Raw genomic sequence first — 22,640 nt, 5'->3', positions numbered from 1 at the left:
TTTCACTCCCCTGTGTATCTGATAGCTTCTCTTACTTTTCTCACACACTGGATTGTTTTTCCCCACAATGAGTTCTGTGTTCATTACCAACAGGTGAAACTGAATCAGTGGCAATGTTTGAAGAGTTTTCAAGCAAAAAGAAAGACACAGAAGTCAATTTATGTGGAATTTAGAATTCACTTTTTCCTCACAGTTTAGATTATATCTGGAAAAGACTTTAAACCCACCGAGTGGATGACATTTAAACTTAGCAGTTTACATAATATTATATAAAGAGGGAGCATGGTTCAGTAGTTTTGTACCGTGGACTTTGACTGTACTTGTGATTTCTCAGGTTATTCAGTATTTTACCTCAGTTTACCAGCTTAAACTATAATTCAATAATGAATGGTCTAAGAATTTTTTAATGGCAGAACAAAAGTACAAGAGATGGTCATTGTGGTGACTAGCATAGCATCAGGTTAAAAAAAGTATTTGATGAATGTGATTATCCCTATTATTTTCTTTAAATGGTAACAGTTCACACTTGCTAGAGGAATTGTGGTTTTGAATTTTTAAACAAGCAATTAAATCTTTGTTAATATTATAGTATTAAATATAGTTGTAATTTGAAGCCCCTTATTTTTCAAGTCTGTAAATCGTGAGCAGCGTCTTTAGTTATATGAATTAAGAATAAGGGAATAAGCTCTCAAAATTACTTTTATTTTATTTTATTTATGTTTTTGGAGATGGAGTCTTTCTCTGTCACCCAGGCTGGAATGCAGTGGGGTGATCTCGGCTTACTGCAACCTCCGCCTCTCGAGTTCAAGCGATTCTTTTGCCTCAGCCTCCCGAGTAGCTGGGATTACAGATGCCTGCCACCACGCCCGGCTAATTTTTGTATTTTTAGTAGAGACAAGGTTTCACCTTTTTGGCCAGGCTGATCTCAAACTCCTGACCTCAAGCGATCCCCCGCTTCTGCCTCCCAAAGTGCTGGGATTACAGGTGTGAGCCACTGCGTCCGGCCTCAAAGTTACTTTTAATTCCGTGATTCTGTGATTCTCACTTTCCTTTATAGCATGTAACACATTGCAATTCCTTGGTGTCAATAGCGGTTGGTTATCTTTTTCTTAAAACCATTCGAGAATTTTTATGAATCTTGTTTGAAGATGCAAACTTTTAAGGAAAATGTTCCTTTTGTTTTTTCCTTCTAGTGAGATAATTTATTAGGGGAATATCAGAAAAAAGATTTTATGTAAACTCTTTGTCCGCAAGGTTATTTTCATTTTGCTGAATAGGATGATGGAAAGTGGAAAGCAAGTTTAATCTGCTTTGAACTTGAATATGATTCTCTACAACTCAACTTCAGCTCAATTAGGTTCTGTCTCAGGCCTGTGTGTATTTATTTATTTACTTATTTTTTACTTAATCCCAAATGTGATAGTAAGGCTAATGTGTATTTGAAGCTGCACCTTCTTTGCTTATGTTTTCCACCCTTACAGTTTAATCCCTTTAGGCTTTTGTCTTTGCTGTTGTCTTCGTTAATTTCATAAGCTGCAAACGAAGTCCATCTGTACCTCATTTCATTTGTTTTTTAAATTTGCTTTCTCCACCACCTCTACTGTTTTTTATTATTTCATCTTTACTAGTCCCATTATGTTTGCAGAAATTTGCTTTCTTCAGATTATAAGAGAGTGTTAAAATCATTCAATCTGTTAGCAACTACCTGTAAAAGCCATAAAAATTTGATAGTACCCAACTTTGTAATGAGTGGACATTATTAGGTGTAATTTATTTTCTTCCATAGTAATTGCTTTTAACAAGGAAGAAGTGACAGATATAATCTAAATTGAGTTTAATAAGCATTTTTACTTTGGCATTTTCCATAACAGCCCAGAAAATACCTACTTGAATAAACTATTGCTTAGCAAGTGAACAACTGCTGGTAGTATATTATCTAAATTGCACTTGCCTTTATTATAAGGTTAAATTCAAGGGTAGGAAGGAGGGAAATGTATGTCAGAACAATCTAAAAGTTATTTGTTTTTTTAAACCTAGGAGTAAAATATTTTTGAAGATAACATGATTTTTTGGAGCAGTTGCTTTTCATGCAATGAGCTTTATCCCCTTGTTCTCCTAAGTTAAAAAAAAAAAATCTTAAATTGATCATGGTTTTTTCACAAGCACTTCCAACATTGGCCAGTTATATAACCAGTAGCATTTTTCATTGTTTTTTCTTCTGAATTTATATGGAGAGAAAAATATGTAGTGTCATATAAATTGAACATATTTAGAATGTAAATCATCCTTTAAAATGTGTTTTTTAAATATGAGATTTATTTGAACGGGACAGATGAGGAATTTGAGATAAAATAGAAGTGTGAATGTAGATAATCTAATTTTTTGAAAAGGTACAGGTATACTTTGGAAATATTGTGGGCTCAGTTCCAGACCACTGCAATAAAATGAGTCACATGAATTGTTGTTTTTTTTGTTTTGTTTTGTTTTTTTGAGATGGTGTCTCGCTCTGTCACCAGGCTAGAGTGCAGTGGCGTGATCTCTGCTCGCTGCAACCTCCACCTCCTGGGACTACAGGCACATGCCACCACACCTGGCTAATTTTTTGTATTCTTAGTAGAGATGGGGTTTCACCGTGTTAGCCAGGATGGTCTCCTGACTTCGTGATCCGCCCGCCTCAGTCTCCAAAAGTGCTGGGATTACAGGCGTAAGCCACTGCGCCTGGCCGTCACATGAATTTTTGACTTCCCACTGCATATAAAAATGATATTTATTTATACTATACTGTAGTCTGTTAAGTGTGCAATAGCATTATGTCTTTAAAAAACAGTGTACATACCTTAATTTAAAAATTATTTTTATTTTTTTTAAAGACAGGATTTTGCTATGTTACTCAGGCTGGACTCAAACTCTTGGGCTCAAGCGATCCTCCCCTCCTGCCTCAGCTTCCTAAGTAGCTTGGACTACAGGCATGTACTACCATTCCTGGCTCTAAAATATACTTTATTACCAAAAAATGCTAATGATCATCTGAGCCTTCAGTGAGTAATAATCTTTTTGCTGGTGGAGGTGGAGAGTGTTGGCTCAATGTTGATGGCTGCTGCAGGGTGGGCTGCTGAAGGTTGTGGTAACTGTGGCAATTTCTTAAAATAGAACAACAATGAAGTTTACTGCATGAATTGACTCTTTTATGAAAGATTTCTCTGTAGCATGCAACGTTGTTTGATAGCATATTACCCACAGAACTTCTTTCAAAATTGGAGTCAATCATCTCAAACCTTGCTGCTTAGTTTATGGAATATTCTAAAATCCTTTGTTGCCATTTCACCAGTGTTCACAGCATCTTCATCAGCAGATTTCATGTCAAGAAACTACTTTCTTTGCTCAACCATAAGAAGCAACTCCTTATCTATTCAGGTTTTATCATGAAATTGCAGCAATTCAGTCACATTTTCAGTCTCTGCTTCTAATTCTCGTACTCTTGCTATTTCCACCATATCTGCATTATTTCCTCCACTCAAGTCTTGAACCCCTGAAAGTCATCCATGAGGGCTAGGATCTACTTCTTCCCAATGTTAATGTTGATTTTTTTTTTTTTTTTTTTAAGGCTGGTCAAGTGAAGGAGTAGGAGTGAGAGAAGGAACAAAGGAATCTGTAACTGGTTATGATCAGTTAGTTGTAAATACCATTGCACTCACCAGCCTAATGTTGATATTTTTACTTTTTCCCATGAATCACAAATGTTCTTAATGCCGTCTAGAATGGTGAATCATTTTCACTGTACTTTGCTTAGATCCATCAGAGGAATCACTATCTATGGCAGCTACAGCCTTAGAAAATGTAGTTCATAAGTAATAAGACTTGGAAGTTGAAATAATTCCTTGATCCATAAGCTGCAGATGGATCAAAGATGCTGTTGTTGATGTTATGCTGGCAGGCATGAAAACAACATTGATCTCTTTGTACATCTCCATCGGAGCTCTTGAGTGACCAGTGCATTGTTGAAGAGCAGTAATATTTTGAAAGAAATCTTTTTTTCCTGGGCAGTAGGTTTCAGCAGTGGGCTTAAAATACTCGGTAAACTAGCTGGGTGCAGTGGCTCACACCTGTAATCCCAGCACTTTGGGAGGCCGAGGTGGGTGGATCACCTGAGGTCAGGAGTTCGAGACCAGCTTGGCCAACATAACGAAACCCCGTCTCTACTAAATGCAAAAATTAACTGGGCGTGGTGGCATATGCCTGTAAATCCCAGCTACTTGTGAGGCTGAGACAGGAGGATCGCTTGAACCCAGGAGGCGGAGGTTGCAGTGAGCTGAGATCGGGCCACTGCACTCCAGCCTAAGCAACAGAGCAAGACTACGTCTCAAAAAAAAAAAAAAAATCAATAAACCATGCTGTAAACAGATTAGCTGCTATTCAGGCTTTGTTGTTCCGCTGAGCATAGGCAGAGTAGATTTAGCATAAACCTTTTTTTTTTTTTTTCGTTTTTAAGAGACAGGAGTCTCACTATGTTGCCCAGCCAGCCTTGAACTCTTGTGCTCAAGTGATTGTCCTATCTCAGCCTCCTAGTAGCTGAGACTGCAGATGTGCACCATTACACCTGGCTTGTTGTATAGTCCTTAAGGGTCTTAGGATTTTCAGAACAGTAAATGAGCATTGACTTTAACTTAAAGTCACCAGCTGCATTAGCCCCTAACAAGAGAGGCAACCTGTCCTTTGAAGCGAGGCATTGTCTTGTCCTTTCTAGCTATGAAGGTCCTAGATGGCATCTTCTTCCAACATAAGACTGCTTCCTCTCCAGTGAAAGTGTGTTGTTTAATGAAGCCACCTTCATCATTGATCGTAGCTCAATCTTCTGGATAACTTGCTATAGCTTCTGTAAAAGCACTTGCTGCTTTACCTTGCATTTTTATGTTTTGGAGATGTCTTCTTTCCTTAAACCTCATGAACCAACTTCTGTTAGCTTCAAACTTTTATTTTGCACCCCCATCAACTCTCTTGGCCTTCATAGAATTGAAGAGAGTTAGGGTCTTGTTCTGGATTAGGTTTTTGCATATTGGAATGTTGTGGCTGGTTTGATCTTCTATCCAGATCACTAAAACCTTCTTCATATCAGCAATAAGGTTGTTTAGCTTTCTTAACATTTATGTGTTCACTGGAATAGCACTTTTAATTTCCTTCAAGAACTGTTCCTTTGCATTCACAACTTGCTCTTTAGTGCAAGAGACATAGCTTTTGGCCTGGCGGCTTTTAACATGCCTTTCTCACTGAGCTTAATCATTTCAAGCTTTTGATTGAAAGTGAGAGATGTCCAACATCTTTTCACTTGAAAACTTAGAGGCCAATGTGGGTTTATTAACTGGCCTAATTTCAGTATTGTTGTGTCTCAGTGAATAGGGAGGCCAGAGGAGAGGGAGAGGGAAAAGGAAGCAGCTGGTTGATGGAGTGGTCAGAACACACACAACATTTATGGATTAAGTCTTCTGTGGGCACAGTTCATGGTGCCCCAAAACAATTTCAATAGTAACAGCAATTTCAATAGCACAGATCATCATAAACAAGTATAGTTATAATGAAAAAGTTAGAAATATTGTAAGAATTACCAAAATGCGACAGACATGAAGTGAGCACATGCTATTGGAAAAACAGCACTAAAAAGACTTGCTTGACATAGGGTTGCCACAGACTTTAAATTTGTAAACAAACAAAAAACCCCAAAGTATCTGTGAAGCACCATAAAGCACAGCACAATAAAACAAGGTATGCCTGTATATTAGAACCCTGCTTAATTTCAAAACCCTGGGTTTCGAAGGGAAAAGCAGAAACTCGGACTTTCCTTACGTCTTTCTTGACTGTTTTCTTCCTACCCATTCTGTTTTCTCAGCAGCGTGTGCTCAGAAACAGTACTTAACCACACACTGTATTATAATAATCTGTTTACTTGATTCTCTCCCCTGGTACACTGATTATAAACTCCTTGAGGACTTCGTCAGATCATTTTCGTATCTCCAGGTCCTAAGGTAAAAATATGGCACATAATAAGCAACTCAGTGAGTAAGACATGCTCCCTGCCTTTTTTATTCACCAAACACATGTTCAGTATAAATATGTCAGGTATTGTACTTACTTTTTTCCTAAGGCTACAGAAGTATAGGATGTACGGGAGGATCCCCACCAAAGGCAGCAGAATGAGAGTCAGAGACTTCACTTTAAATCCCAGTCCTACTAATTATTAGTAGTGATAATTTGTTATTAATTATTACTTGAGTGACTTTTGCCAAGCTGTTTAACTTCTCAAGGACTACTTTCCTTCACTGATAAAACAGAGAATAACAGCACCTGCTTTACAGGGTGGTTGTGAGGATTACATGGGATTATGTACCATCTATAAAGCACTTAATACATATGTGACAGCACTCAAAAATAAGAACTACTTTTAGTGGTCTAATAAGAAAAAGAAACAGATTTGGATAACAGATGATAGAATAATAATATTAACTGGACGGGACCCTGGACAGGTATCTCAGAGGAAGGGACACAATTCTTGCAGGAAGGTTTAGAGGCAATGATAAAAAGAACAATACAAAGGAATGAGAGCAGGGTATAGCACATGGGAAATAAAAGTTTAGGGCAGTTAGCACATTGGGCATGTGGTAAAGAGATAAGAGATGAGGGAGAGAGGTAGATTGAGGCCATTTATGGAAGTGTTATTAATTTCATCCTTTCTCCACTCTGTGGGATAGTGGGTGGTTATTGCCTTTTTAGTGATAATCTGAGGCTGGTGAATAAGTGACTTGCCTCAGGCCACATGGTGAGTAGCAGAGCCAATGTTCAACTTATAAATTCTTTGTGCTCTCCACTATACCATGATGCCAAATCCTAGCTTTTTACTAATAAGAAGAGATTACTTTATATCTTAATGTGCCTGAGCCACAGATTTTGATGTGAGCATTATCGAAACTGTGATTTTTAAAAATAGGACCAATATAACAAAGTTTTACTGATTATTGCATTTACTTAATCAGATATGAATTTCCATTCATTCATTTATTTAAATATTTATTTCCACTGCTTCACTTGGCTAGCCTAAAAATATATGTATTAAAAAATAAAAATAAATATTATGGTTAGTATTTTTGTGAAATAATTGTTCGAGATTTTCTCCCCTGCTCCTCAAATCTTATATTGCCTATGGATTAGGCAGATTTGAATTGATAAACTTGCCTTCACTGGACACAGATTGCCATTTAGAAGATTTTCTCTCCTTTAAAATAAGGTTCTAAGGAAATTTTTAGAAATGGACCTATAGCACAATAGAGAGAGGAACCTGTACTGGTATTGAAGAGCATCTCCAAACAGTAACTCACAAGTAATACAAATGGTAGGAGAGCAAACTATGAGACAAATTTCTATTAAATGAGGTTTAAATTTTATTGAGAATCCACAGGATGTTAGACTATTAACTAAATAATTGTTACCCATGAAAGCTTATGTTCTAAAAAAGGTGATTTGGCTGGGCTTGGTGGCTCATACCTGTAATGCCAGCACTGTGGGTGGCCAAGGTGGGCAGATCACTTGAGCCCAGGAGTTCAACACCAGCCTGGACACGGGACACACACACACACACACACACACACACACACACACACACACACACACACTTGAGCCCAGGAGTTCAACACCAGCCTGGACACGGGGACACACACACACACACACACACACTCTTGAGCCCAGGAGTTCAACACCAGCCTGGACACGGGGACACACACACACACACACACACACACACACACACACACACTTGAGCCCAGGAGTTCAACACCAGCCTGGACACGGGGACACACACACACACACACACATACACACACACACACACACACACAGTTGAGCCCAGGAGTTCAACACTAGCCTGGCCACGGGGACACACACATACATACACACACACACACACACACTTGAGCCCAGGAGTTCAACACCAGCCTGGACACGGGGACACACACACACACACACACACACTTGAGCCCAGGAGTTCAACACCAGCCTGGACACAGGGACACACACACACACTTGAGCCCAGGAGTTCAACACCAGCCTGGACACGGGGACACACACACACACACACACACACACTTGAGCCCAGGAGTTCAACACCAGCCTGGACACGGGGACACACACACACACACACTTGAGCCCAGGAGTTCAACACTAGCCTGGACACAGGGACACACACACACACACACACACACACACACACACTAGCTGGGCGTGGTGTTGTGTGCCTGTAGTCCCAGCTACTCGGAAGGCTGAGGTGGGAGGATTGCTTGAACCCAGGAGGTGGAGGCTGCAGTAATCCGTTATCATGCCACTGCACTCTATCCTGGGCAACAAAGTGAGAAAGTGAGACCCTGTCTCAAAAAAAAAAAAAGATTATCTCTTTTTATTCACTAACATTAAAATAGATTGAAATAGACAACTAAAGAGCTTCTCTGTGTCAATAAAAATCTTTTCTATAGTGATTGAAAAGCCTTTTATTTTCTAGTCCTTTTAACAATTCATGGGAGGCTTTTACCAGCCTAACTAACGGAAATTTAGATCTGCACGCTTTAAAATCTCAGGATCAAAGCTTTATCCTTTTTTTAAGTTGGCTCTGTGAGGCATGTTTTCCTGCCTCCTTCCCCAACCCGCAGTATCCAGCCATTGTCAGAAAGACTAATACCTCTCTGAAATATCTTCCCAATTCTGTTTACTATATCTAAGACCTTAATATAAGAATACAAATTTGATTCCTTTCAGATTTTTACATTTTAAAACTTTGTTTAGATTGTGACCCTTCTTTCTCATATTACAATCTCAGACACTTTGATTTCTTATTTGAGCACTGTTATCATCGGCTTTTTAGAATCTCTCACTTCCAAAATTTTTCTAGCTTAGTATACCAACCTTCTGTCAACTGTCTGCTACTTTTGCCCCACAAGAGATACACCAGATTTCAACTGATTTAATTCTATAAAGATAAAAATTGCTATAAAATATGCATATTGCTTAATTTTTAAATTCTATAGTCAAAGCAATATTTAGGAATATAAAAATATATTAAGTGTAATTTTAGTGTATTATAAAATATTCAAAAGATTTTTAAATTTCGGGCTGAATTTAGACATATGGCATAGGTTAACAAATTGATTATAAGCTGGTAAATTTAAAGAATCGAGAATTTCTTGCTTTGGCCAGGCTGAAAGAGGAAACAATTTTACCCAGAAAATGTCATCAACATTTCAGTAAAAATACCAACTACCATTGTTGAGCATGGTGAGTAGCAGAGCCAGTGTTCAAACCAGGCACTGGTTTGTGGCTTATTTAATCCTCACAACAATCAGGACAGGTAACCATTATCACCATGTTAAAAATGAGGAAAGTGAGGTGCCAAAAAATTAGGAAGATTATTTAAGTGACAGATTTGGAATTCAAAATAAGGGCTGTGTAGCTCTAAAGCCATTATTTTTCGCCACACCACGCTGTTTCTACTTTAAACATATATGTAATTATTTGTGTTTTCTGAACTAGGCTGCTCTGTTTTTTCAGTAGTTACTAGTTCTTCTTAAGCTCTATTATCTTCATGGATTTAACAAAATTAATTGAAAGTTAACTGCTTCTTCTACCGTTTTGTTTTGGATTGCTTTTTTATTTCGCATAGAGTATTTACAAATGTAGAATATTCTTTCAAATGGCACTAAAAATTGAGAAATCTGAACTTGACTTAATCCAACAATCTGGTTTGTTTTTTTTTTTTTTTTTTTTTTGTCAGGTGGACAGTGTCTGGCTTCCTTGCTCAGGCTGAAGTGCAGTGGAGTGGTCTCGGCTCACTGCAACCTCCGCCTCCCAGGTTCAGGCAATTCTCCTGTCTCAGACTCCAGAGTAGCTGGGATTACAGACATGCACCACCATGCCCGGCTAATTTTCATATTCTTAGTAGAGACAGGGTTTCACCATGTTGGCCAGGCTGGTCTTAAACTCCTGACCTCAAGTGATCCACCCACCTCAGTCTCCCAAAGTGCTGGGATTACAGGCATGAGCCACCGTGCCCAACCCTTAATCCAACAGTCTTTAGTAGCTCTCCACTCCTCACATTTCTAGGAAGATGCAATTATCAGCGAGATAGAAATAAGAGACTTAACAATTCGCAGGAGACTTGTACCAGTCTAACTAATGGAAATTTAGATCTGCATGCTTAAAGACTAAGGGTTAGTGATGGAAAAAAATGGGCATATGGAGCAAGTGAAATAATTGAATTTTAATATCACTGAAGGTAGGTAAGATATTTTTAATATATTAAGAAAAATTATATTTCATTTTCATGGAAATGAAGCTGAGTAAAAACTAAATTCTTTCTAGAGAAAAATACTAATATAGGTAGAATATAGACATGGCAAAGATTAAATATGGTACATAAATAACAAATGATTTTAATAAATTCTAAAGCCTCATATGGTAAATTAGATCTCATTTATTTTCCTGTATTCTTTCCATCAACATGTAACCTTTTGTGACAGAAGATTCTGATGGTTATATTAGAAACAGTGAACCTATAGTAAAAGCCCTAAAAGTTGTCTCCATCTTCCCCTTACTTCATTGCCTTCGTTCATATTTTTTTCTTCATCTCAACTTTCTTCTCTTCTGCTGTTTCCTGCCTACAGTAAAAAAAATTACATATACCCACATTCAGTTTCATTACTTCAAGACCAAGTTCATACTTATTTCCTCCAAGATGACTTTCCTAATCTTCTACTCCAACTTTGATTATATCATTAATTGGTATTAATGGGTGGACATGGTGACTCATGCCTATAATCCCAACACTTTGAGAGATGGAGGCTGTAGACCAGGAGTTTGAGACCAGCCTGAGAACATAGTGAGACCTCATCTTCAATTTTAAAAATAAAAGAAAAATGTAAAAAACAAAGAAAAATAATTGGTATTTATCAGCAGTCAAATATTCTTGCAGTAACACTGTAATTATATTTTATCTCTTCACCTGTATTGAGGGTGAGACATAGTGTTTTAATATTTTTCTGAAAATTACATATTTTATTTTTTATTGTGGAAATTTCAAATTCGGAAAAGTTTAGTGAACTTCCTGTTCATGTCTGTTACCTGTAGGTATTCTTCTTTATTTTTTAGATATGCTTTATATTTAGGGATGTCAATCCCTTTGGGAAATAAATTCCAAATGTTTTTCCCCATCGGTATTTTTTTATCGAGGTGCAGTTGACATAAAGTTAACTGTACATCTTTAAGGTGTATATTTTGTTGATGAATTTTGACATTTATATGCCCATGAAATAATTATAATGAAGATAGTGAACATTTTCGTCACCCCCAGAAGTTTCTTTGTGCCCTTTATGCCCCACTCACCTAATTCCTTGGTCCCTAGGCAACCACTGTTCTCTTTTTCTGTCACCAAATTAGTTTGCATTTCCTAGAATTTTATATAAATGTAATCATACAGTATGTACTCCTTTTGGTCTGACTGCTTTTATATAACAATTATTTTCAGAGTCCATCTAATCAGTTTCCTTTAATTTTGACTTCCATTAAGATCTTCCTTATTTCTTAAATTTTTTCTTCAGAACTTAATACTTAGGGCAGTAGTTGAAAACAATGCAGTCCACAGATGTTTGGACTTTACAGTGGCACTTTAAATTTTTGACTTACATGCCAAGATTTTAATGCTTTTAGGATTAGTCTGTAAACAGGACTGACTTTTCAGAGTGAGTTCTGGGAAGGTGGCTACTTGAATATCTCACTATCCCTCCATTCCTGCTTCCAGCCTGTATCTGTCAATCTTGAGTGAAGTGGCTCCTGGATCTGATGAACAGTTGGTGCAATTGAGGCCATGGGCTGTGTGAGAACTCTGTCAGGGAGAGTTGGTACAGGACTTTTCCTCTAGACAAGAGCCTGGAAAATCTCAGGATAAGCATAAGAATGGCAAATCCAGGAAAGAACTTGGTTTGGTAGATATCCATGAATTCCTGGAGGGAAGGAGAAAAGGAAAGAGCCATGGGTCTGAGATCTTCCCATCCCTGTGGCTGGCATATGTAAGGAGACCTGAGAGCAGGGAGGCTTCCTCCTGGGCCTCCACAAGGGCTGGTGGCTTGCCTGCTGCAGCACTGCCTACCCACAGGGGTAGAGACTGCTTTGCCTTTCCATTTTCTTGAGACTGCTACCGCTTGTGGTCCTCCAACAACTAAATCTCATCCCCCATGAGGTGACAAAGATAAACAACCCATCTGGGGAAGCCAGGCAACCTGAAAGAGAAAAACCACTTAGAATAAACAATATATTGAGTTAGCTAAATAGAAATGCTGGAGGAGGCTGGGCACGGTGGCTCACGCCTGTAATCCCAGCACTTTGGTAGGCCGAGGCGGGCGGATCACGAGGTCAGGAGATCGAGACCATCCTGGCTAACATGGGGAAACCCCATCTCTACTAAAAAAAGATACAAAAAATTAGCCGGGCGCGGTGGTGGGCGCCTGTAGTCCCAGTTACTCAGGAGGTTGAAGCAGGAGAATCACTTGAACCCAGGAGGCAGAGGTTGCAGTGAGCCGAGATCGCGCCACTCCCTTTAGCCTGGGTGACAGAGCGAGACTCCATCTTTAAAAAAAAAAAAAAAATGCTGGAGGAGAGAGAAACTTGAACATGAAAATAATAATGGGCCACATTTAAGACTTTATGGAACAAAAAATGTGATTTTTCCACCTAAATAATTATTATCACCTGACTCCATTTATCCTCACACACTTATTTTTTTTAAAACTATCTCTGCTAGAGTGTAAGCACCAGGAGAACAGGAACTTTTTTGTCTTGTATTCACTGCTAATCTGTTGTCAACTCTAATACCTAGAACACTGTCTTACACATAGTAGGCGCCCGAAACATAATTATTGAATAAAGGAATGAATGAGTATGAACAATTATTGACCTGGAAGATCAAGTAAAATAAATATTTCAAAGCATGGAGCCAAAAAAAAAATACAAAAAAAAAAAACTTTTAAAAAAGAGACCTATTGGATCGATTCAGGACACCTAACATGGCTAATACAAGTTCCAGAAGAAGAAAAAGGAACAAATGGAGAAGGAATAATTAAACAACATAAAATTATTTCCTGAGCTAAAGACTTCAGTGTGCAGAATGAAGTTCTGGGGGAGATCAGTGATGAAAAACACATACATAGGGATATCCTTGTAAAATTTTTGAGCTCCAAGGATTCACCTTGGAGGCTTCCAGATAGAACAGGTTGCACCTATCAAGTAACAGACTGGAATCAGAATTCTAATTCACAACACTGGAAACTAGGAGATGGTAGAAGAGTATTTACAGATTGGGGATTTCACAATCCCAAATCCCTATTTCCCTTGAAGATATTTCTCCCCTATGAGGGGAAACATGTTACAACTATACAAAAATTTCAAGGATATAATACCCACTTAACTCCTCTGAGAAAATTCAAGAAGGGGTTTTAGCCAAATAACAAGTGACCTAGAACAGAGATCACATGATGAAAGGGATAGAAATAATGGAAAATGACAGACTCTTTGGGAATGTATTATGTAAATGCTAAGTAAGGTTTTTAACCAAAGGATGCATAGTTCAGAGAACAATAATATTTACAATGTGATAAGTAAGTCAGGGCAGAACCTCAAAACTGTGGGAACAAAAGGAAGTAACAGCTTTCCAATTAAGGTGAGGAGAGGAAAAAGCACCAATATGTACATGAAAAGATGCTCAACATCATTAGTTATTAAAGAAATACACATCAAAACCAAAATGAGGTACAGTTTTTTCACACTCACTGGGATGGCTATAAACAAAAAGACAGATATCAAGTGTTGGAAAGGATGTGAAGTATTGAAACTCTCATCTGCTACTAGTGACAATGTAAAATAGTACAACTACTTTGGAAAACAATTTGACAGTTTCTTAAAAAGTTAAACATAGAATTACCATATGTCCCAGTAATTAAGTGTATTTCCACACAAAAACTTGTACAGGAATGTTTATAGCAGCATTATAAATAATAGCTAATAAAGAAGTAACAGCCCAAATGTCCTCCAGCTGACAAATGAATAGATAAAATGTGATATAGCCATATAATGGAATATTATTTGGCAATAAAAACAAAGTACTGATTCCTGCTATAACATGTGTGAAGCTTGAAAATGCAAGTTAAGGAATCTAGTTGCAAAAAACCCCAAACACATACTGTATGATTCCATTCGTAGGAAATGTCCAGAATAGGTAAATTTATAGAGGCAGAAGTTAGATTAATGGTCGTTTAGTCTGGATAGGGTTGGGGAGAGTGAGATGGGGATTAGCCTGCTGATGGGTAGAGGGTTTCTTTTAGTGGGGAGACAAAAATGTAAAATTAGATTGTGGTGACAGCTACACAACAGTGTGACTATATTAAGAAACACTGAACACTTTGAGTGAATTATATGGTGTTGTCTTAGTATGTTTCATGCTGCTATAACAATACCACAGACTGGGTAATTTATAATGAATTGAAATTTATTGACTCGTGGTTCTGGAGGCTGGAAAGTCCAAGACCAAGGTGCCAGCATCTGCTGAGGGCCTTCTTGCTGCATCTTCCCATGGCAGAGGGCAGAGAGGGTAAGAGGGAGTGAGAGAGAAGGGGACCAAACTCCCTATTTTGTTACAAACTCTCTTGATAATGACATTAATCCATTGTTGAGGGTGGCTTAATTACCTAATGGCCTAATTACCTCTAATTAGTCCCCCACCTCCCAGTGATGTTGCATTGGGGATTAAGTTTCCAACAGATGCTTTTGGGAGGATATATTCAAACCATGGCAGGTCTGTAGTTTATGTTTCAAAATGTATTTTTTTTAAAGAGGAACTAGTGTTGATAATACACAGCAGCTTGCATGAATCTGCAAGGCATTAGGCTCAATGAAAAAAAGGCAGTCTCAAAAGTTTATATATGATTCCATTTATATTTTCTAAATTATTGAAGATCATGACACATTTACTATTCAAAGTATACACACTAAAAACAATGTTTTTAAAAAATTCCAGAATACAGTATATATAATAATAGTTTCTAGTTTAATGTCTGGGTTTAAAACTTTAGGAAATGTTATGTTCAGCCTACATTAAGCAGTTAACCTTTGACTGTAACATGAAATCAATATAGGCTCTTAAAATATTGGAAATGTTCACAGTAGTCTCTTAGTCCCCCTAATTCCCCTTTTAACTCCTTAGTTCCTAATTTGTTGTTTAGGCCAATTTTCTCCCCTTCTTGTTAAGAAGATAGTCTCTTATGGTCATGTTTATTTTTCCAAAACCATCTTTAAAATGAAAATGTGAAATATGTTTCCACAGTGCATGAAAAATAATTTGGATCATCCACAAGACCAAAGAATGACATAATCTTTTTTTTTTTTTTTTTTTTTTTGAGACAGGGTCTCCCTTCTCCCGTCTGTCACCCAGGCTGAAGTGCAGTGTCATGATTATGGCTCATTGCAGCCTCAGCCTCCTGGGCTCAAGCAATCCTCTCACCTCAGCCTCCCAAGTAGCTGGGACTATAGACATCCACTACTACGCCAGGCTAATTTTTAATTTTTTTGTAGAGACAAATCTCCCTGTGTTGCCCAGGCTGGTCTTGAACTCCTAGGCCCAAGCAATCATCCCACCTCCACCTCCGGAAGTGCCAAGATTATAGGCATGAGCCACTGTGTCACCCAGGCTGGAGTGCAGTGGCACAATCTCAGCTTACTGCAACCTCCGCCTCCTGGGTTCAAGCAATTCTTTTACCTCAGCCTCCCGAGTAGCTGGGATTACAGGCTCCCGCCACCACACCTGGCTAATTTTTGTATTTTTGTAGAAATGGGGTTTCACCATGTTGGACAGGCTGGTCTCAAACTCCTGACCTCAAGTGATCCACCCGCCTCGGCCTCCCAAAGTGTCAGGATTGCAGGCATGAGCCACCACACCTGGCTAGCCCATAATCTTCTTTATACATAATTTTCTTCAGTAATATTTGCAACAGCCTCAAGATCCATCCTCCTTTGTTATTTCTTAGTAAGTTTTTTTTCTTCTTTTTTAACTGTGTAGGTACAGTCCTCTTGTATCATTTATACTTTTCTTGACTGACCAGTTTGTGGATTTGGCCCAATAAACTCTCTTTATATTATACTTTGGCCTTTATTAAATCTACTGTCTGGTATTACTCTCACCATCTTCTCAGTGTTATAGGCTGAGAAGAAAATTACAACCATAGGTTGTATAAGTTATAGGCTGTGAATTAGAAGTATAACTATCTTCATCACTGCTGAGTTCTTCAACTTCTAGTGGATTTATCTCCACATATTTGGAAGAATTTCAACACAACTTAATCTAATGTATTCAGAACACAGTTTACCTCATTTGCATTTTCTTTATACAAATCTGAGCTCAAACAAAAAGTGGTCTTAACATTTCTCTTGCTTGGGACACTCCACTAAATAGCACTGGTTTGCTTAAGAGCCTCTGTTAATCTAATACTTATTCTTAGCATATGTACTGGATTTTGAAGGACATTGTTGATGAGTACCCAGTATTAGTGGCAGATCTGCAGGCTGGTCTCGAACTCCTGACCTCAGGTGATCCGCCCACCTTGGCCTCCCAAAGCACTGGGATTACAGGCGTGAGCCACCACGCCCAGCCTTGTCTGGCTGTCTTTTCTTTAAAATAAGTCAGATGGATCAAAGAGACGATTGCTAAGTAAATTCACATACAATTTCTTCAGGATTCATGTGTTGTGTGTTCTGCTCCATAGGCATGTTTGGCCCTACATTTTCACTACTTTCTACCTTAATTACCATTTTCTTCCTTCTAGTATCTAGACTTGTTGGGAAAAATTGGAATGACAGCATTACAGTCATAGTGTCAATAATTTTTTTCCCTCTGTTTCCTTCTCTAGCATTCTGAGCCCTTGGTCTCAGGTGCTTTCTCTTTCCATTGGCTTTTAGGAAAGTTCATCCTTCTGTCTTCAGCTCTTATGTTTTGATGAGGACTTTGTTTCTTTGTTTCCATCATCAGCCTTTATTAAAACTAATCCTGAATTTTGGTCTCTTGGTATTTGTCTTTGAAATCACTTCAACATGAGTCAGTTAACAAACATGTTGAGGCCGGGCCTGGTGGCTCACACCTGTAATCCCTGACCTCACCTGAGGTCAGGAGTTCAAGACCAGCCTGACCGACATGGTGAAACCCTGTCTCTACTAAAAAAGACAAAATTAGCCAGGTGTGGTGGTGCATGCCTCTAATCCCAGCTATTCAGGAGGCTGAGACAGGAGAATCGCTTGAACCTGGGAGGCGGAGGTTGCAGTGAGCCGAGATCGCGCCATTGCACTCCAGCCTGGACAACAAGAGTGAAACTCCTTCTCAAAAAAACAAAAATGTTGAACATTTTATAAATGTTACATGAAGCTCTGTCTGTATTACATGAAGTTGTAATTGTCACAGCAACGTTAAAACAAAATTCTTGTCTCAAAATGCTTATAATGGGCAGATAGGACCCCTGCCCCTCATGCCCCCAAACCTGCTCCTCTCATTCTTTTTTTTTTTTTTTTTTTTTTGAGACGGAGTCACTCTGTCTCCCAGGCCAGAGTGCAGTGGTGCGTCTCAGCTCACTCACTGCAATGTCTGTCTCCCAGGTTCAGGCAGTCCTCGTGCCTCAGCCTCCCAAGTAGCTGGGACTACAGGCACACACCACCATGACTGGCTAATTAAAAACTTTTGGGTGTGTGTGGAGACAGAGTCTTCTATGTTTTCCAGCCTGGTCTGGGCTCAAGTGATCCTCTTGCCTCAGCCTCCCAAAGTGCTGGGATTACAGACATGAGCCACTGTGCCTAGCCACCTCCTTTCATTCTTAATCCTGGCAGCTGTGTTATGGCTAGGGGTAGGGGAGTAGGGGAATCTCACAGCCATGAAAACTGATACCACCATAAATTCATCATTTCCAACAATGTTGTACTGTCGACACTATTTAGACATTCTGTGTGATTCTAGTTAGCTTCCCTTCTCAATCCTTACAGAGTTAAAATGCTTAAGACCTCAATCCTCCATTCTCATATAGCTAAACCTTCTACTTCACAGAGTAAACTGTATTTCTTTATTTCTAATATTCTTCTTCATAAGTTCTTACCAGCATCTGTGTTGACACCTATCCTTTACCACCTTCCTTGTTGTCGTTCAATATTGATCCATACACCTGTGCTCTAGAACCTTTCTTGCTTCCTAACTCTTGTGATTTCTAATTTTTTTATTGACTCCTTCCCCCTTGATATATTACAATATTCAATCTCTCTGTCACTCTTTCCTTTTCTTTCTCGCCGATTTTTGCTCATTTAGTCTTCCAAATAATTCTCAAATTTGTCCCGTTCTCTCCATCTTCACTGCTACTATCCTAGTCCATTGTTATTTTTTGTCTAACCTCCTAAAGCCATCCATTACAGTAATTACCAGAGGAATTTTTCTCATATGTAAATCTCATCCTATTACTCCCTCATTTAAAACCCCCTAATGTCTCCCCATGCTGACAAAGTCTGTACTGCTTAGCAGGTACATGTACCTACACGATCTAGAACATCCCAGCTTAATAGCTTCCTTGTTTATTACTCTTTTGTACATACTGCACACCAGATATAATGAATGTTCTTGAATGTCTCTGTTGCTTTAACACATTTATTCCATCCTCTTGGAGTGTTCTTCAGTTACCTAGCAAACAATCTTCATGTTAAGACTGAGCTCAAATACCACTTCTTCCTTAATGGTCCCTGTGATCACTCCAGGAAATGTAATGTAATGTACACGCTACCATACTCTATGTCTACACCTCCAATATAGTACTTTAGTCACCCACTGCAATCACTTGTCTTACCCGTATGTGCTGTAAGCCCCTTAGGGGTAGCTGCTGTGCTCTATTCATCTTTATGCATCTCCAGTGCCTAGCACATAATCTGACATTTATAGATGCTTAGTAAATATTTGTTGAATTAATATGTTGATTAATTAAAAGATAATACAAGGCAGCTTATACCCAACAGTTGAGAAAAGGTTAAACTAAAATATAAAGGGGCTTAAATGCCAAGCTGAAGTTTTTCGAGTTCACCCTATAAGCCAATGGGTCCAAATAAGTAAACCACAATCTATTTATAAATGTCTACACCAGTAGCCTCCGCTACCACCATCATCCCCACCATCATCCCCCAGCCTGAGATTTCAAAGTAGGAACAAAGGTAGAGCTTACAAAGGCAGCCCTTCCCCTTTGCTTTGAGGGACTCAGATTAGTACCCCACACATGATGTAGATTACAAATAAACAAGTGAAAATGATCTTCACAAAATGTTTGGGGTCTCCTGGCAGTGTCACTTGGAAAGCTTTCAAAGTATTTATTTTGTTGTTTAAGCAATGATGCAAACTGATAAAGGCAGAATTTTAGGATTATTAGTATGGAGGAAAATGTAGGATTGTTTGAAGATGGGAGAATTGGTGGCAATTGGTCTAAGCTGAAAAGGATGAGAATCTAAATGATGGCAGTGCAATGGAATAGATTGGTGTGGAAGCATACTGAAGCCACATTTAACTGGATTTGATGACTAAATATTGAGACTGAGGGAGGAAGGGGGAAGAATCAGGTTGGAAGTACATGTGCTCACTGCTTCTGTGTACCCACTTTCTCTGTGAATGACAGGATTCTTTTCTTCTTTTTTATGTTAGGTATATTAAATCCTGCTATTTTATCTCTGGAATGTCTCTCCTCCATTTCCCCCCACCCATTTTTCTACTTTTTCATGAACTAATCATCCTTCAAGATTTAGCTCAGTTATCCCCTTGACAACATCTCTTACCATTGCTTTATTTTTATTTTATTTATTTATTTATTTATTTATTTTGAGACAGAGTCTCACTCTGTCGCCTAGGCTGGAGTGCAGAGGCACCATCTCAGCTCACTGCAACCTCCGCCTCCCGGGTTCAAGCAGTTCTCCTGCCTCTGCCTCCCGAGTAGCCAGGATTGCAGATGCCCACCACCATGCCTAGCTAATTTTTGTATTTTTAGTAGAAACGGGGTTTCACCATCTTGGCCAGGCTGGTCTCAAACTCCTGACCTTGTGATCCACCTGCCTCGGCCTCCCAAAGTGCTGGGATTACAGGTGTGAGCGGCCTATTTTTGTTCTTTCCTTCTTGAGTCCCACAGTATTTGTACTTAAACTGTAATAATTTTATTGTTTCATAATTGTGTATTTTTCCCCTCTGAACTTCTTGAGAGCAAATGGTCACTGTTTTTGATATCCATAGTGCCTAGCATGTACCTGACATATAGTAGGCATTCAGAGTCTTGGTTGAATTAATATTAATAACTACTACTGCTGTCCTAGACAGTTAGCCTTAGAGATGTTTGCACATGGACAGACCGCCGTGGTCTATTAATGAGTCTGCCTGCCTGTCTCTAATATATCTAGCATTTATTTCTTTTTGCATTTTTGTACTCATGTTTCCTTGCCTAAAATACTGCTTTCATTTTTAGACTTCTACATAGAGAATTTCAGTTGTTTTCCATCTCCTTTAGACTCCTCTATTTGCCTTCCAAGATTTTCCTAATATGACCCAATCTTCCCAAGCAAATCTTTCCAGACATGTGCTGTATTTATTCCTCCTCTGTGATTTTGAGCCCTCCATGATTTTTAAGGTTTTCAAAAATCCTCCTTCAAGTTCACACTGCCTTGATCAATGTTGCACGTCTCCCTGTGGACCCTCACACTGCTTCCTGCTAGTGAGATGATCCAAGACCACAGCTGAGGCCTGGCTTTGCCATGGTTCCATTGGCTTTATTGGCTACACCACCTTGGGCAAATCATTTCAGCTTTCTCTGAGCTAGTTTCTTTATGAATATAGGAATAATTCTTCTTCACATGGTTGCTGTGCAGTTTTTATGTGATGATAGTAGGAAATTTTCCCTAAATTCAGTCTTTTAGAGACTACCTTTGTAATCTTTCTATTTTTATGGATCATCTTTGTGTTTATTTAATTTTTTTCTTAAATTGAGTCACTGCTTTTATGGTTTCCTTTTAAAAAGGAACGTTGTCACTAAATGAAATACCAGCATGCTTGCCATAAATAGAGTATAAATTAAAAATAGATACAATAAAGCAGCTAATCTTGTTAGATACTGTTGCCAAGCTTAGGCTCTGACTAAGCCTGTTAAAAAAGAGATTAGCAACATTTGAAGAGATTTTAAAGATATTCTAGCACAAACATTTTTAAAAATGATATTTGGCAAAGTGCTTCCAACTTTCAGTTAGCTGGGTTAATGGCAGGATGAGGGGAGAAGGTAGAATCAGTTAAAACTTATCAAGATGTTTAGTAGAAAATGAACTTAATAAACATTTGTAGTTAAATTTTCAAAAATTTGATTCTTATGGAGTTATCAGAAGTATACAAATAACACAAGTAAAACAGTTTGGTTACTAAAATTTTTTTTCAAATATCAAAGTAGAAGCATATCTACTTTTCTATGTGGATGTTCTTTATCTCTTCTTAATTTCTCTACCTTCAGTCCTGACTCTCTGTTGGATTCCATAACCACATGAGCTTTCCTTTACCTTCTCTGTGTTCTGCCATGCTCTTGGCAAAAAGGGATGGGGCAGTCTTACCTGGGTCGGCAATGTTTGTGAACTCTGCTGCATTAGCAACGCATCGATATGGCCATCTGTGGTCACTGTGTAGTTCCATGCACCAGATACCTACTCTGACTATTTGTAATTATTTCATACATGCCTTGTTGTGATCTTGTGCCTTAGATAATTATCTTCCCTGGATAATTAAAAGTTATGTATATTACCATTATTCATTCTTGTACCTAAATTTTAGGAACAACCAGTATGATATAGTAGACAAATCAGAATCCAAGTTCAAGCGAGTCTTTTTTGAAATTTACACTCAGTTTGCCTTGGATGAACCATTGAGCCTAATCTTGCTTTAGCTTTTTAATATTTCCTATCTGTATCACAGGGTTATCATGAGAACCAAAAGAAATATGTGAAAATATTTTAAAAACTGTAAAATGTTACTATGTGTAAGTTACTATTATTACCATCATTCTTTCTTAGTTTCTTAAGTTGAAGTTGACTTTTCAACTAGATTATGAGCTGCTTAATGTCAGGAAATATCTTATGCTCACTCTTGTTCCCCACAGCATCCAACACAGCTTTAGGCATGTTTAAAACTTATGGAATTAAATTATCATTGTTTATTTGAATTGGAATCATTAATAAAATTGTACTGGGAAATGTAGTACAGACAGTCCTTAACAATTACTATTATAAATAATTGTATCACAACATTCCAAACTGTGTGTTTGTTTGTTTTTGAGATGAAGTTTCGCTCTTGTCACCCAGGCTGGAGTACAATGGCGTGATCTCAGCTCATTGCAACCTCCTTCTCCTGGGTTCAAGCAATTCTCCTGCCTCAGCCTCCCGAGTAGCTGGGCTTACACGCATGTGCCACCATGCCTGGCTAATTTTTTGTATTTTTAGTAGAGATAGGGTTTCTCTATGTTGGTCAGGCTAGTCTTGAACTCCCA

The 22,640-nt window shown here is 38.4% G+C and overlaps 1 protein-coding gene across 11 annotated transcripts in view; it reads left to right on the top strand.

Moving 5' to 3' along the window:
* Nucleotides 1–22,640, top strand: part of SLC12A6 (solute carrier family 12 member 6) — a 108,274-nt gene that overhangs the window by 19,630 nt on the left and 66,004 nt on the right. The gene's annotated exons all lie outside the window — the stretch shown is intronic.

Source organism: Homo sapiens, chromosome 15, assembly GCF_000001405.40.
Source record: "Homo sapiens chromosome 15, GRCh38.p14 Primary Assembly".
In the NCBI taxonomy this organism is placed as follows: Eukaryota; Metazoa; Chordata; class Mammalia; order Primates; family Hominidae; genus Homo; species Homo sapiens.
The sequence above is the reverse complement of the archived record's forward strand: the minus strand, read 5'-3'. Positions and strand labels throughout refer to the sequence as shown.